The sequence below is a fragment of the Homo sapiens genome, chromosome 2 (genome assembly GCF_000001405.40).
Source record: "Homo sapiens chromosome 2, GRCh38.p14 Primary Assembly".
Classification (NCBI taxonomy): domain Eukaryota; kingdom Metazoa; phylum Chordata; class Mammalia; order Primates; family Hominidae; genus Homo; species Homo sapiens.
In genome coordinates, this window is record NC_000002.12 from 100133343 (window position 1) to 100148729 (window position 15387).

General features: G+C 44.6%; 1 protein-coding gene across 7 annotated transcripts in view; it reads right to left on the minus strand.

Moving 5' to 3' along the window:
- AFF3 (ALF transcription elongation factor 3) overlaps positions 1-9248 on the minus strand; it is a 597172-nt gene extending 587924 nt beyond the window's left edge. For all 7 annotated transcript variants that reach the window (NM_002285.3, XM_047444286.1, NM_001386135.1 and 4 more), the window contains exon 1: positions 9142-9248. The gene's annotated coding sequence lies outside the window, so the exon portion shown is untranslated. The remainder of the gene's footprint in view (positions 1-9141) is intronic.

Genomic DNA, 15387 nt, shown 5'->3' on the forward strand with positions numbered 1-15387 from the left:
AATATTCACTTTAATGTTTGAAAATGTATCTCCTAGTATGTATGTTTCGTTGTTTGTTTTTTAACCAGAGTGCAGTCATACTACACATACTACTTTTTTTTTTCTTTTAGAGGCAGGGTTTCACAGTGTAGTTCAGGCTGGAGTGCAGTGGCCACTCACAGGCATGATCATAGTGACTTACAGCCTGGAACTCCTGGACTCAAGCAATCTTCCTTTCTCAGCCTCCCAGCTGGAATTACAGGCACATGCCACTGTGCCTGGCTCTCATGTACTACTTTTTATCCAACTTTTTTTCACTTAATAAAATAGGCCGGGCACAGTGGCTCATGCCTGTAATCCCAGCACTTTGGGAGGCTGAGGTGGGCAGATCATGAGGTCAGGAGATCGAGACCATCCTGGCTAACACGGTGAAAACCTGTCTCTACTAAACATACACAAAAATTACCCAGGCATGGTGGCGGACGCCTGTAGTCCCAGCTTCTGGGGAGGCTGAGGCAGGAGAATGGCATGCACCTGGGAGGCGGAGCTTGCAGTGAGCTGAGATCGCGCCACTGCACTCCAGCCTGGGTGACAGAGCGAGACTCTGTCTCAAAAAAATAAATAAAATAAAATAACAATAATAATATAAAGGGGCCATCTTTATATTTCAAAAGAAATATATATCAGGATTTTACATGACTGCATAGTATTTCACTGGACTAATATGGTACAATTTGCTCAAGCCACTCTCTATCTTTGGAAATGTAGCTTGTTTCCTCATTTTTGCTATGATGAAACACATTATGATAAATATCTTTGCACATACACCCATCAGGAGAAATATCTAGTTTTTAAGGCTTTTGACAGCTACTACAGGGGATTACCCACAGGAAAGTTTGTACCAACATGAATTCATATAAGCCTTGTATAAAAATATGCATTTTCCAACACTAATACTAGCATTAAAATTTCATCAATATTATTGTATTTCAATGTGTAGCTTTGGTTTACTAATAAAGTAAAATTTTTCTTCCCAACTGCTTATTAGGCATCTGTATTTTTTTTCTGAATTTATTTGACAGAGCTCCTTATATATGAAGGATAGTAAGCTGTCATTATATATTGAAGTATTTTTCCAGGTTTGCCATTCATCTTTTTATGTTTTTGTGGCATTTTCGACAGAGTCAAAGCTATCTTTATTTTCATTTATACTTTATTTATTTGGTATCAGGCTTACAAAAAACTATCATCCCAAGATCATTTAATCTTTACCTGAATTTTTCCCTAGCAATTTTACAGCTTTATTATCTCACATGACGATCCTTTTAGAATTTATTTTGATTTAATACACTAGGTTTGCATCTAGCTTTTACTCTCCTCTCCACCACCCATAGCAGTTAGACAGCGTCTCAATATCATTTACTGAAAAGTTATCCAATCGTTCATTTATTCAGTAAACAGTTTATCTAAGACCCATAGGACCAGGCATTGTTCTAGGTCCTTGGGATACAAGAAGGAACTTTCATTCTAATGGAAACAGCAGATAATGGCAACTAAATATATATGGTAAATGGAGCTAAATGCAGTGAACAGGGAGAGGCTGGCTATTTTATACAAGGTGGTCAGGGAAGCTCTCTCTGAAATGGTGGCATTGGGCAGAGACCTAAAGGGAGTGAGAGGTGACCTATGCATCTGGGGAAGAGCTCCAAGGTGCTAGGCCATGACATAGGAGTGTTCAAGAAATGATGAAGAGACCACTCTACTGGAGCAGTACCACAAATAAGGGAGAGAGCACCAGAACAGTTCAGAGGGGTGACAGGAGCCAGATCATGTAGCCCCTGATAGGTCACAGTGAAGACCTTGGATTTTGCACTGGGTGAGGGTAGTGGATTGTATTTCCCAAAGATGGCCACAGCAGTGTGTGTGAGATCTTTTGCAATGTGACATTGTCACGCCTCCCTCAGGAGGTGGAACCTATTCCTCAACCTCTTTGAGTCTTAGCAGGCCTGGTGACTGCTTTTGTCAATAGAAGACGGGATAAAGGCTGCTGTGTATTTTAGGAGCAACTCTTAACTGCTGTGGCAGCTTCTGCTTCCTGCCTCTTAGAAACCAATCACAATGCAAAAAGTGCAACCACCAAAACATGGCCATTCTGTGAGAAGCCCAAGGCACAGGGAGAGCCTGGGAGAATGAGATGCCACATGAAGAGAGAGAGCGCCCAAGGAGCTCCAAGGCACCAGACGTGTGAGTGGAAGGGGATCCTCCTGCTCAGCCAGCCCAGACAACCAAATACCCAGATTCATGACCCATGACATCTTGAGCAAATGCGGAAGGTTGTTTTGAGCCACCATGGTTTAGGGTAGTTGGTTATGCGGCAAGGGACAACTGGAACTGTGAAATAGGGACCCATAGGAGAGTTCTGAGCAGTCATATATTTTGACTTAAGTGTTATAAGAATTCCTCCAGCTCTGCGCTAAGAACAGTGTGAAGGAGGGAGAGTGTGGAAAGAAGATTACTTTGGAGAGCAGGGGAGAGACCATAGGATCTAGGACCAGGGAGGCAGAGGCTAAAGTGCTAAGAAGCAATTCAATTCTGGATGATTTCAAAGAACACACAGATGGGATTTGCTGATGGATTAGCTATGGGTTGTGAAGGAAAGAAGTGAAGGATGGCTTCAAGGTCCTAGGCTGACACTGGAAGAATGAAGGGGCTTCGTGGGGATGTGAGAAAACTGTGGGAGGAACAGGGCTGGAGTTAGAGAAATTAGCAATTCTGCTTCGGACATGTTAAGACGTAAGGTTGAACACACATTCAAAAGGAGAGACTGAGTGTTGTGCGAGAGCTGGGTCTGTAGTTGGGAAAGAAGTCAGGGCTGGGAGATGTAAGTTTGGGCATCGTTGGTGTTTCAGTGGTCACAGTGGACCAGATCATCTGGGAGCGAATGCAGATAAAGCAGGGCCATCGGGGGACTGGGGCGCTTCACCACCCGGAGATGTGGGAGAGGTGGAGAAGGCACCCAAAAGGGAGGCCGAGAAGGCGCGGCCAGTGTGGTAGGAAGAGAGGAAGAGAATGATGATCTGGGAGGCAGAGGAGGAAGGTTTCCAGAAGGAAGAAGTGAATGTGTCAAATCAGCTGAAGAATCAAGTCAAATGAAGACTGACAATTCTCACTATGACTGTCCTCATTCTTGAAATTACTGATTTGAAAAGGGGCTTTTCCCATATTCTAAATGGACACATGTGGGAGTGTGTGTGCACTTTCACACTTTCCCTTCTCCCCCATTGATCTGTTTATCCATTTGGAGCTATGTGACCGCTGAAGCTTTTGTATCTGACAAAACAAGTAGCACACTTCCTCTTTTTCTCATCTTTTTTTCAAAAGTATCCTGGTTATTCTTATCTAAAATTAATTTGAAATTTGACATTTGAATTTTATCAAGTCCTCTCCCTCCCCAAATGCATTGGAATTTTAATTTAATCTTTTAAAATAAAAATTGGTTTCCTGAGAGTTGATATTGAGTTTTCTATGTGGTATATGTTTCCATTTATGTATGTTTTACATCGCTAAGTAGATTTTATAGATTCTTTTTATATAGGTCTTGTGGTGTTTCCTCTTAAATTCTTTTCTAGGTATTTAACTTTTGATGCCTTTTATGAATTGCATCCCATTTCCCCATTGCATTTTCTTACTGACCTTTTTCTTTTTGCCATAAGGAATCTATTTATATATAAAGAATTCTATTATTTTGAATTATTTTACTGCTGATACAAACAGATTGCAACACCTTTATTATTTTCACCGCGTGGGATCCCACATGTATGAAGTTATATAACCGATGTATAAGGCTGTCCTAATCTCTGCTAGTAAAATCGTTCCTAGTTTGGAGGATGGGATTTAATATGACAGGATTTCATGGTGTTTCCCAAAGAACTTCATGATTTCCAGGTGCTCTGGGAATGACTGTAGCCACACATCTCAGAATGTCCCAGATATTCCCAATTTCAAAGATTTTTCCCTTTGTTAACCCATGAGTCAGACCATATGTCCTTTGATCTTTGCTTCAAAAAATATTGCCATGGTATTTAGAAACAGGGACAGCCCAGGCAAAGTTGTAACACATGGGATGTTTTTCCTCTGAGCCCCTAACTTACCCCTCAGTACTCTTCCTGGTTATGTGTGCCTGGTGCGTGCATGTGTGCACGTGCACACGTGCATACACACACACACACACACACACAGACACACAGAGGCATCCTGGAGGAAAGGGATTTTATTCAAATACAACCACATGAACTGCCTGTACAGCCTAGACTCAGGATCGCCCTAAGGGAGTTGGCATGGAAGATTTCAGAGCTGGGCAGACTGGGCGGGGACCTCTCATCTGTGTTTCCTGAGGGTCACCTAGCCTCTTTGAGCCTCCGTTCTCCATAGGTGAAAGGAGTGTATCATATCTGCCTTGCAGGGGTGTTGTGGGACTCAGAAGATGTCCATAACATCTATGCCCAGTGTAGAGTAGGAACTGGGAAATAATATCCATTACTGTGATTTTGTGAGGAGTTCCAGATAACTGCTCAGGTCTTTAAGAGAATTCCTTGGTCTTCATACTCCACTCCCAGCTGTGGAAGCAAAGCAATCAGAATGAGGATGCAGGAAGCATGGGGTGGCCATCTGCCAGTTCTCCCTTTTGTATGCCTATTTCTGCAAACAAACCCACCAACGATTAGATTGCCCATGATAACAAGCCAGCCTCCACTCAGAGCTCACCGTGCAATGACTGTGTGGAAGACATTTGTGATTTTTTTGCTGTCACCACCAACTATCTTCCCTTCCTGTTACCACCGCAGTCTTCCTTCTGGGGATGCCTCACCATGCATAGATGTGGGAGATAGGCCGGAAGTCTAATGGAGGGTCTACCTTTCCTCAAGGGGCAAGCATGTGATCTAAACAGGGGTCATCACTCTCTCCCCTCTTTCTGGGATTTTAAATAAGTGACATCCCAATATGGGGACAATTGAGGTCATATCTGTCACTGTGGCAGCCACATCATGTGGCCCAGACTGTTGCCACATTTCCATTCCTGTGGTTCTTAACGGTGTTCTTACCTTTGCTTGCTGCTCTATTTTAAGTCAATCAGCCCCCAATATTGTTCTGCTAGATTGACATTTTGTTCAGCATAGCCTGATTCAGTTTCTGTCTTTTGCAACAGGAGCACTATCTGATACAACCAGACTCCAAGAGGAAAATAGAAAAAGGGAGCTCATACCACTTAAAAAGATTTCTCTTTACTGTGGTCATCATCCAGGGCTTGGGAGAAAGGTGAAATCTTAAAAGATACCAGTAGGCCGGGTGCAGTGGCTCATGCCTGTAATCCCAGCAGTTTGGGAGGCCAACGGGGGGCGCATCACCTGAGGTCAGGAGTTCGAGACAAGCCTGGCCAATATGGTGAAACCCCATCTCTACTAAAAATACAAAAATTAGCCAGGCGTGACGGTGGGCGCCTGTAATCCCAGCTCCTCAGGAGACTGAGGCAGGAAAATCACTTGAACCCAGGAGGCGGAGGCTGCAGTGAGCCGAAATCATGGCACTGCTCTCCAGCCTGGGTAACAGAGCAAGACTCTGTCTCAAAAAAAAAAAAAAAAAGACACCACTAAATGGGACACAACAACTGAGTTGAAGTTATGCATCATTACATTAGAGAGGATTTGGGGGTAGAATGCCTTTCTGTTTGCCAATTTATCATCAAAGGGGCAAGAGGATGAAGGGCGGAAGGGAAGTGGTGAATATCAACTTATACAACCACCACTCAAACACAAACTCTTTGCATGCTTTTAGGAGAACTTGAAACAATTTCAATTTTCAGGATGGGGAAAAGTAAAAGCCCTATTTGCCCTTTCTCTCTTCATTATCCATGGTCTCCACATTGCTCCTTGGTCCTGAGAAAGCTGCCACAAAGCATTTTACTAGTTATCTGATTGTCATTCCATTTAACATGTCCCCTGGTCTGCTGGCTGATGGTAGTTTAAGCAGGATCTAATTGGTAACATATTGCCGATTGAATTAAGTGCCATATGATAGAGATTTAAACCATGGTAATTTTTCCATAAAGAAAAATCTGTCAACAGGCTATAGGGGAGGAACAGCAATAAATCAAATTGTCGTGTTTATTAGTTATTGCAGGAGTCTAGTTGTCTTGTATTCATTATAACCCCCCATTTTTAGTGCAGATAAAAACTACAAAGAGGAATATCTGTGCAAGATGCTTTTTAATAGGTTTGTATTTGTACACAAACACCTGCTTGTATTTTAATGATGAGAACAATGGTGCCATTTCACTTTGAAAGGAGCATGTATTTTTGGCTGTTTTCTGGATGAAGAATAATGTTTTTAGTTTTTGTCAAAGCTATGTTTTAAAACATTGAGAATCAACTCACTAATAACCAAAAAAAAGGCAAATGAAAGCAGAAATGAGATATGACTTGTTTGTCAGACTTGGAAATACTAAAAGAACAGATAGGATGATTGCACTAAAGGATTTCTAGAACAGTCATTGCAATTTAACTTGTGATATTCAAAAACCGGAAATCAACTAAATTTTCATATATGGGAATGGTTGCACAAATTATGGAACATCAGCTCCAGAGGGTGCAAATGGGTCATTTGAAAGAACAAGTTAAATCATACCTAATGACATGTCATTAAGAACCAACATTATTTATACTTTTCATTTCCATTTAACTTGCCTTTACCGAAGGTGGATTTCAACACGTTTTCCTTACATGACTCGGAAATAATATAACAGCATTTTACGTATGTAGACTCATTGAGCCCTCATAAAATCCTGTGAACTCTGTAGGACAGGACATTACACCCACTTCACAGAAAAAGATGTGGAAGTGCAGAAGATAAAAGTTATTTATGGAAGGGTCCATAGCTGTCAACCTTGATAGGCAAGACATCAGGTCCTTCCTCTGAGTAGTGGTGTAGAAAAAATGGTTGGAATTTAGAAACCAGCATCCAGCTCCTCACCATGCCTTCAGCTTTCTCTGTGACTTTGAACTTGTTTCTTAAACTCTCTGAAACTGGACGTCCTCACTGGTCACGTTTTGTTACTACTTGCTTTGTATTCTGGGTGTGATGGGTGGGGGATTGGGACACAGAATCTGGAGATGGTCAGATCCCAACGCTGCTATTTCCCTGCTCTGCACTCTTAGGCTACCTACCAATCTCTCCTCTAAAATAAGCATAATTGCAATGGCTCAGATACAATAACAAAATGTGTGTAAAATGCCGAGCACCACGTCTCACACCTGAGAGGCACTGAATGCATGTTATATACTATCATTTGGATGTCACCGTTCCATGTGCCTATTTCCTGGTTTGCTGTACAAGATGTGTATGAGTACATGTCATCAAGCCCACAGAGCTCCAGAACATGTTCCTCTCACAAGCAGGCCTCATAGGGAGGGGTGTTCTGTGCTGTTCCTCTTTCCTGCTCACTACTTGTCTGTAGCTACAGTGTAAGGACTGTAATGTCACTGCTCTGGCCTTAAGTGTCACCCCCCAAACCCATTTTACACACACCACCTCCCACCTTTCACCTTTCCCAAACTCTTACCATGTCCCTTCAAGTTTGATGGCTTAATTGTACAAAAGGTAGTGATGATGATGATGATGATGATGACAATGATAACAGCTGCTAATACTTACTGAGCCCTTTCAATGTTCCAGGCACTTGTCTAAGCACTTTACATGTATTAGCTTATTTAATTCTTAAGAGGAAGGGATTACTATCTACTATTGTACTTGTGTTACAGATGTGGGAACTCCGATGCAGAGATGTATAGTGACTTGCCTAAAACCATCATGTTAGAGTGGGAATTTAAACCTTGAAATCTGGAAAATAAGCAATGTATATATTTTTCTATTTTCTAAATGCAAATCAAATATACATATGCATAACACCACTAAACACTAAGTGCAGTTACGCCTAGAACAAGGGAATAGCAGTTGACAGAAACACAACCAAAACTAAGAATATTAAATGTCTGTATTACTTTCACTGTAATCACTTCACTTCAACAGTGAGATGGGATAGCCCTAGGTAAAGGAAGGTGCTCTTGTAGTTAGAACATTCTTAAATTTTGCACCAAGGAACACATGCTTTTAATAATGGCAGAGACAACATTTTTTGATGGATTATTTAGTTTGTACGATCAACATTCAAAGAATGAGTTTACCACCACTTTGTTATTGTAAACACTTGACCTTTAGCTACCTGAATGATCCCCTCTTTGAATAAAAGGAATTATGAAACACATGTGTAGACATATTTCATTTTTATATATGTGAGACTCGAATAGCAAGGAAATCACATATTAGGAAAAAAACCCCTTTGTCTTGCTATTAGTTCTCTTTGGTTTCAAAAATCTGGTCACTGTGTATATTGCATTATATCATATGTGTGTGTACATATATATACACACATAAACACACATACACACAATGTCATGTGTATAAATACATGATGTGTTTATGCACATACACAGACACACACACACAAATACACACATATACAATGTTCCATCCAAGAAATACAAATATAGTGCTGTTAGCCCCTAACAGTGAGGAGGTCATTATTCCAAGTCATTTCTGCAGAAGTGACGGTGGCCTTAGGTGGAACTGCCCATGATCTCTCCTTGCAAGCTCACTCACTGGGGCCATTGACTGGGATCCAGTCTGTGGCCATGTCATGGTTTCTATTTTTGAGGTTATAGCTAATGAGCAACATGAGGTTAAGACACACTTTTCATAAGGCCCCAGCCAGCATCATAAATATGTGTGTGAGCATGTTCACACTCAGGTTATGTCTTCTTTATGTGCACCCTCTACCACACACACACACACACATGCACACGCACACACACTGACGGCTTCAGTGACCAACTTTGGTCACATCCCATCTCTTCCTTCTCAATCCCTCTGGCTGTTCACCAGGGCCTGGACCATCTCGGTGAGGCTGACCAAGAATGCTCCCCCTGCCCTGACCAGCGGAGCATGGGCACAGCTACTTAGAGCGCCACCCTTCAGGACACAAAGTCGGGGCTACCTCTCTTCCAGGCAAGGCATCCTAGAGGGCCCGCACACCCTCCAGTTTGATCTTACCTCTCAGCTCCCGTTCCTTTTCTTTCTCTCCCCAGTAAGTCGTTGAACGTCTTTCTTCTGAGGCTGAGCGTGGAGCTCTCTTCTCGCTGGCGAGCTTTCTGAATGGCACTTTCTGTACAAACAGGAAGAGCATGTGTGGTCACAACCCAAGTGTGCAGGTGTTGATAGAGGATGTGAAAGTGTGGAGGCGAGTGACTAAACCAGATACCCAACCGGCCAACTCTCACTTGTGGCAGGGCCTGGTCTACCAGAAGGCTGGAAGCAGGAACCTGGACTCTACTCTGGGGAGACCAACTGACAAAAGCAGAGGATGGTGGCCCTGGAGGCCAAGGGAGAAGGTCTCTTTGACTCCTGTGCTTTCTAACCCTATGCAGACCCATAAAAGAATCCCAGGAACATTTTGGAATCTCTTAGATATATGATTATCAAGAATGTTGATTTCAATGGGCTGCTTAACTTGTCCAAAGCTCTGCTGGTTTCCCAGGCTGTCTGGGCCTCCAAGAGATCAGGACCAAAGGCTCATCCTGCATTGGAACTGTGACAAGTCTTCCAGACCTTTCTAGAACAAAGCTACACCAGGAAAGAAGAGTCTTAGGCAAGGAATCAGATGTCCTAAGGCTGCTCTACATGACCTACATGATGGGTGTTACCTCCTCATCTCCCATTCAGTCAACCCACGGGCACTGGACTTCCTGCCCGACACCCTTCCCTCTCCCCATTCATGCCTGGAATTATTTTCACTAATGACACCAGGGATTCACTAATGGATGCTTTTTCAGTTCCTGTCCTATTTGTCTCCACTGGCAGTGTTTGACTTCCCTGTAGTGTTGACCATTTCTTTCCTCCCAGAACTTCTGCCTGGGCCGCCATGACTCCATACTCTCCTGGTTTTTGTCAGGCGGTCTCTCACACTGGCAGGCTTCCATTCTTTGGTCTTAATTTTCGCCCTCCTGCAAGCTCCACTCTCCGCCTCATGGTTCCTGTTCTCCATGGGTGGCCTCTTCCCAGCTCCAGATGGAACTTGCCAAGCCCACATCCATAGCATCACACATTTCTGCTGTTCTCCTGGAACATCCCCCAGCACCTCCCGTCAGACTCGCCACAATGAAACCCTGCTCTGTCCTCTACCCCACTCATTACTTACCATGTGGCCTGTGAATTCCCTCCTGCCTTGTCCCAGCTTGCTCCTCAGGTCTCTACCCCCTTCTGAGTTTACCACCTTCTGATCTCTCACTTTGCCTCTGCTAATCTGGCTTCTTCAGGTTTGACCCTCCATTATCCTCATCCAAACAGGCCCGTCCTTATCCTGAGAATGGATACCTAGAAACTTCCCCACCCAGTCCTATCCCAAGCCCTGGGAAATTATCCCAGTATTGTCTGCCTCATGTCCCTGGCAAGGAGAAAACGTTTCTTTATCTTATACCCAAACCAGAAATGGGGAGGCTTCCCACGTTCTTCTCTTTGCTGAATACTCTTCAACCTTCCATCACCAAGCCCTGCCCATTCTACCTCTTCAGTCACTCCTCAGATCCTTCTTCCCGTCCGCATCTCCACAGCCACACCCTCCCTCCATTGCCTCTCATCACTGCCCTAATCCCCAAGGGGTACGTGCACCCAGGGCACACCAGACCGTTCACTGAAGGATGAGAAGAAAGGAATTGAATGTCTATCTACCCACACTTGTCTGGTTTTTGTATTTAATTAAGACTCACATACCATAAAATGAGCCGTTTTAAGATGGGGAATCCTGTGGCATTGAGTACACTCACAATGCTGTGCAGCCACCACCTCCATCGAGTTCCCAGACTTACATCTATTTTTACGTCATGTTTTTAGTGTTTACATTTTGTGTATGTTTCAAGGCATGCAATGTGTGAATACAGTTGTATTGTATATCATTTGTGAATAATCATACATCTGCTCAGAATAGGCGGCAAAGACTTTTTTGCTGAAGAAGATACAAAATTAGAAAAGTGGGGACACGTGACCTCCTAACTCATCTCTCACATGTCAGGCTCTAGAGTGTTTTCCAAACTGCCTCCAAATTTTCTCTGCAAAAGACTACAAAAATGATGACAGTACACTCCCCTCACCCCACGACCAGTCCTTAAACGCTTCAATGGCTCCCTGTCACCCACAGGAAAATCCCAAGGCTCCATCGCTGGGCAGGCGAGATGTTGGATTCAGTGGCCTCTGCCCACTCCCCAATACCATCTCTTGCCATCCTTGATACCACTTCCTTCCTCACCACCCAACAATCCCACCACCACTCATGGTTTCTTGAACTTTCAGGCTGCTTTATGTCACAGCTTTGCACATGCTATTTCCTCTTTCAGGGTGCCTTCACTTCCATTGGCTATCTGGCAGATCCCCATGGATATTAAAAACCCTTCCATCCTGCTCATCTCAAAGCAGAATTCCTCACCTGTGCGGGCTGAAGCCATTGCCTTCATGTTAGATGATACTATGGGCAATTTGATGGTCAGGAGGGTGGGCTCTGCCTCCAGAAAGACCTGGGTTTGGGTTCAGCCTCTATCATTTACTAGCAAGGGTAACTTGGGGATGTTACGTTCAGCTTCCTCGTCTATACGGTACCCACTCATAGAGTGACTGTAGAAATTAAACAACATAGTGTGTGTGCAGGATGTCATAAGTATTCAGTAAGTGGTGGAGATTATCATGATGGTTATTCTGTTTGTTTACCTCACTATTCTGTAAACTGCTTGTAAAATTTATAAATTTCATACCAAGGAGAGCTACTACTTCTAAGGCAGAATGTCTTCATTTTAATTAAAAAGTTGGCCAGGATTGGTGGCTCATGCCTGTAAGCCCAGTGCTTTGGGAGGCTGAGGCAGGAGGATTGCTCGAGGCCAGGAGTTCGAGACCAGTCTAGGCAACGTAGTGAGACCTTGTCTGCACAAAAAAATTAAAAATTTTTAAAAAATAGCTAGGTGGTTAGACGTGGTGGCTCATGCCTGTAATCTCAGCACTTTGGGAGGCTGATGTGGGCGGATTGCTTGAGGTCAGGAGTTCGAGATCAGCCTGGCCAACATGGTGAACCTGACCAACATGGTGAAACCCTGACTCTCCTAAAAATATAAAAATTAACCGGGCATGGTGGCGCACACCTGTAATCCCAGCTACTCGGGAAGCTGAGGCAGGAGAACCGCTGGAGCCTGGGAGGCGGAGGTTGCACCGAGCCAAGATCGCGCGGCTGCACTCCTGCCAGGGTGACAGAGTGAGACTCTGTCTCAAAAAAAAAAAAAAAAAGAAAAGCCAGGCGTGGTGGCATGCACCTGTAGACCCAGCTACTCTGGAGGCTGAGGTGGAAGGATGGCTGGAGCCCAGAAGTTTGAGACCAACCTAGGCAACATAGTGAGACCCTGTTGCTACAAAAAATAAAAAATCAGCTGGGTATGGTTGCACACACCCATAGTACCCGCTACTCAGGAGGCTGAGGTGGGAGGATCATCACTTGAGCTGGGGAGGTTGATGCTGCAGAGAGCTATGATGATACCACCGCACTCCAGCCTGGGTGACAGAGCAAGACTCTGTCTCTAAAAAAAAAGTTAATTTTTTAGTGTACAATTGAAACAGAAGTGCTGAGAATGCACTTTCTGCGAGCTGTTTAGGTGTGGACATCTCTAGCCACACCACATCCACGTTGTCCTCCACTTATCCCCTGCTGCCCCCCAAACTCCAACCAACCTCTCTGGGCTGTGTCTGGCCACTGTGCATTTGTATGAGGTCCTCGCTGCCCCTGAGCTGCCTGGGAAGACTCAGAGGAGCCTGCCTGCCACCATCTGCCCCATGCAGACATCCCTGCCATGGCCAGCGGCTTGACACGCTGAAGGCAGACATCCAGTGAGAGCAGCAACAGGTCCCTGGAGGCTGGACTGGTCACAATATTCATTCATTTAAAATTATTTCCAGCCTCTGGCAGAACATCTAGCACGATGGTTAATAAATGTACTTCTCCTGCTGCAACACCCGCCACACTTAATTATAATCAATTAGTCACTTGTGTGTCTTCCGCCTGGTACTGGAGGCTTTGTGAAGTTGAGATGGTGCTGGCCCTGCCCACGCCTGTCTCTGCAGGACCTGTTGCACATAGTAGAATCTCAATAAATATTTGTTGAGTGAATAAATGAATGAAAAGTTTACTAGACTGCAGTGAGGGAAAACAAACTTGAGTGCCAATTCGGTCAAATAGTCACTGTGTGACCTCAAGCAAGTTGTGACATCCTGGAGCTTCAGTTTCCTCAGCTGTAACATGGAAAGCCCAGTCAATACCCATCCTCCCACAGGGGCACGGTTGCTGCCAAAGCAGGTCATAAACTGCAAAGCTTTTTACAGAAGTGATGTGTCTGGGTGTATCTGGACTCTTCTCCTTTCCTGGTGTAGCTTTCTTCTAGAAAGGTCTGGAAGACTTGTCACAGTCCTGACACAGGATGAGCCTTTGGTCCTGGTCTCTTGGATGCCCAGACAGCCTGGGGAGCCAGCAGAGCGAGGCGTGATGTTAGAAGATAGTGGGAGGGTTCTGGGCCATGCTGTGTCCACACAGGTTGGCGGCAGGAACGCTGTGCACCAAGCAGGCCCCACTTCTCCAGCAGGAGAAAGCCGGGGCTTCACCACCACCCCCAGGAAGGGCTGTGTCTCTGCCTGTAGCTCCCCTGGGCCATTTCCCTGTTTACCATGCAAAGTTCCTTTGGCTTTCCTGGAGGGAAGAAGTGCATCTTGCAGCCGAAGCATGCCCTGTGATTGGGAATGAGACCCTAGGAAACACACCTTGTCCTGTCCTCCAGGACCCCGGAAACAGGCCCACACAGCCTGCATTCTCTGGGCATGAGGATGGCAAGGACACAGAGGGCCTGCGTGAGTCTCTTCGTGAGGCTGGGAGGGGACAGAGACATGCGTATGGGAATCCCCATTGAGCAAAGGGACAGCTAAGGTGGTAGTGGGTGAGGGAGTACTGGTTAGAACTGACTGGGGCCATTTATCATAATTCCCAACCAGGCTGGGTGTTGGTGGCCCATTCTGTCCTGGTGCTAGGTTGGGTACAGAAATGGGCAAGGAGGGAGGAGGGTCGTGAATGCCCATCAGAGGCCAACTTCATCTTCACTGACCCTGTGGGCTCCCATTTCACAGCTGACAGGGTGGCTGCCCTCAGCAGGTACCATGAATTTTGGCTGAGTGAACAGGGGATTGAATCTAATCAATGCCTGTTGTGTGTATATTTATATCTCTTGTTTATCCTATGTGATAATAAAAAAGCTGTCATTTATTGAAGCTTACTATGCACCGAGAAGCACTTCTATGCATTAATGTATTTAATCTTCATGATTACATGAATGTATTTAATCTTAGCCTCATTTTACCAATGAGGAAAATGAGGCACAGATGTTTAAGAAATTGCCCAAGGTCAAACAGATCGTTAATAATAGAGTAAGGGGCCAGGCGTGGTGGCTCTCTTTTGTAATCCCAGCACTTTGGAAGTCCGAGGCAGGGGCATCACTGAGGTCAGGGGTTCGAGACCAGCCTGGCCAACATGGTTTCACCGTCTCTACTAAAATACAAAATTAGCCGGGCGTGGTGGCGTGTGCCCACAATCCCAGCTACTGGGGAGGCTAAGGCAGGAGAATTGCTTGAGTCTGGGAGGTGGAGGTTGCAGTGAGCTGAGATCGTGCCACTGCACTCCAGCCTGGGTGACAGAGCTAGTCTCTATCTCCAAAAAAGAAAAATAAATAAATAATAGATTTAGGGTTCGAATATAGGCATGACTGCTCCAGAGCATGCAGTCTCTCTCTCTCTCTCACTCTTGCTCCCTCCCTACACACACACACACACGCACACACATTTCATTCACATACACTTGTATGTATGTGTAAAGACAGGTGTACACATTGTGTTTATATTTGTATGTAAATCTATACGCATAATGTTTATTCCTGGCATGGCTGTCCCACATGAAATTTTCATTAGATTACTCAGCCTTGCTATAAACAACCCAAAACATACGCGTGTATATAAAGTGATTTTACCTCATATGTTAGAATCACATAAATCAAATGGGGGAGAAAATGAGAAGAGGCTAAGTTAGTTGAACAACGTATCTCTGTTAGAACCAAATGGCATCTAGTTTTAAAAGTAGATTAAGGCCGGGCACAGTGGCTCATGCCTGTAATCTCAGTGCTCTGGGAGGCTGAAGTGGAGGACTGCTTGAAGCCAGGAGTACAAGCCCAGCCT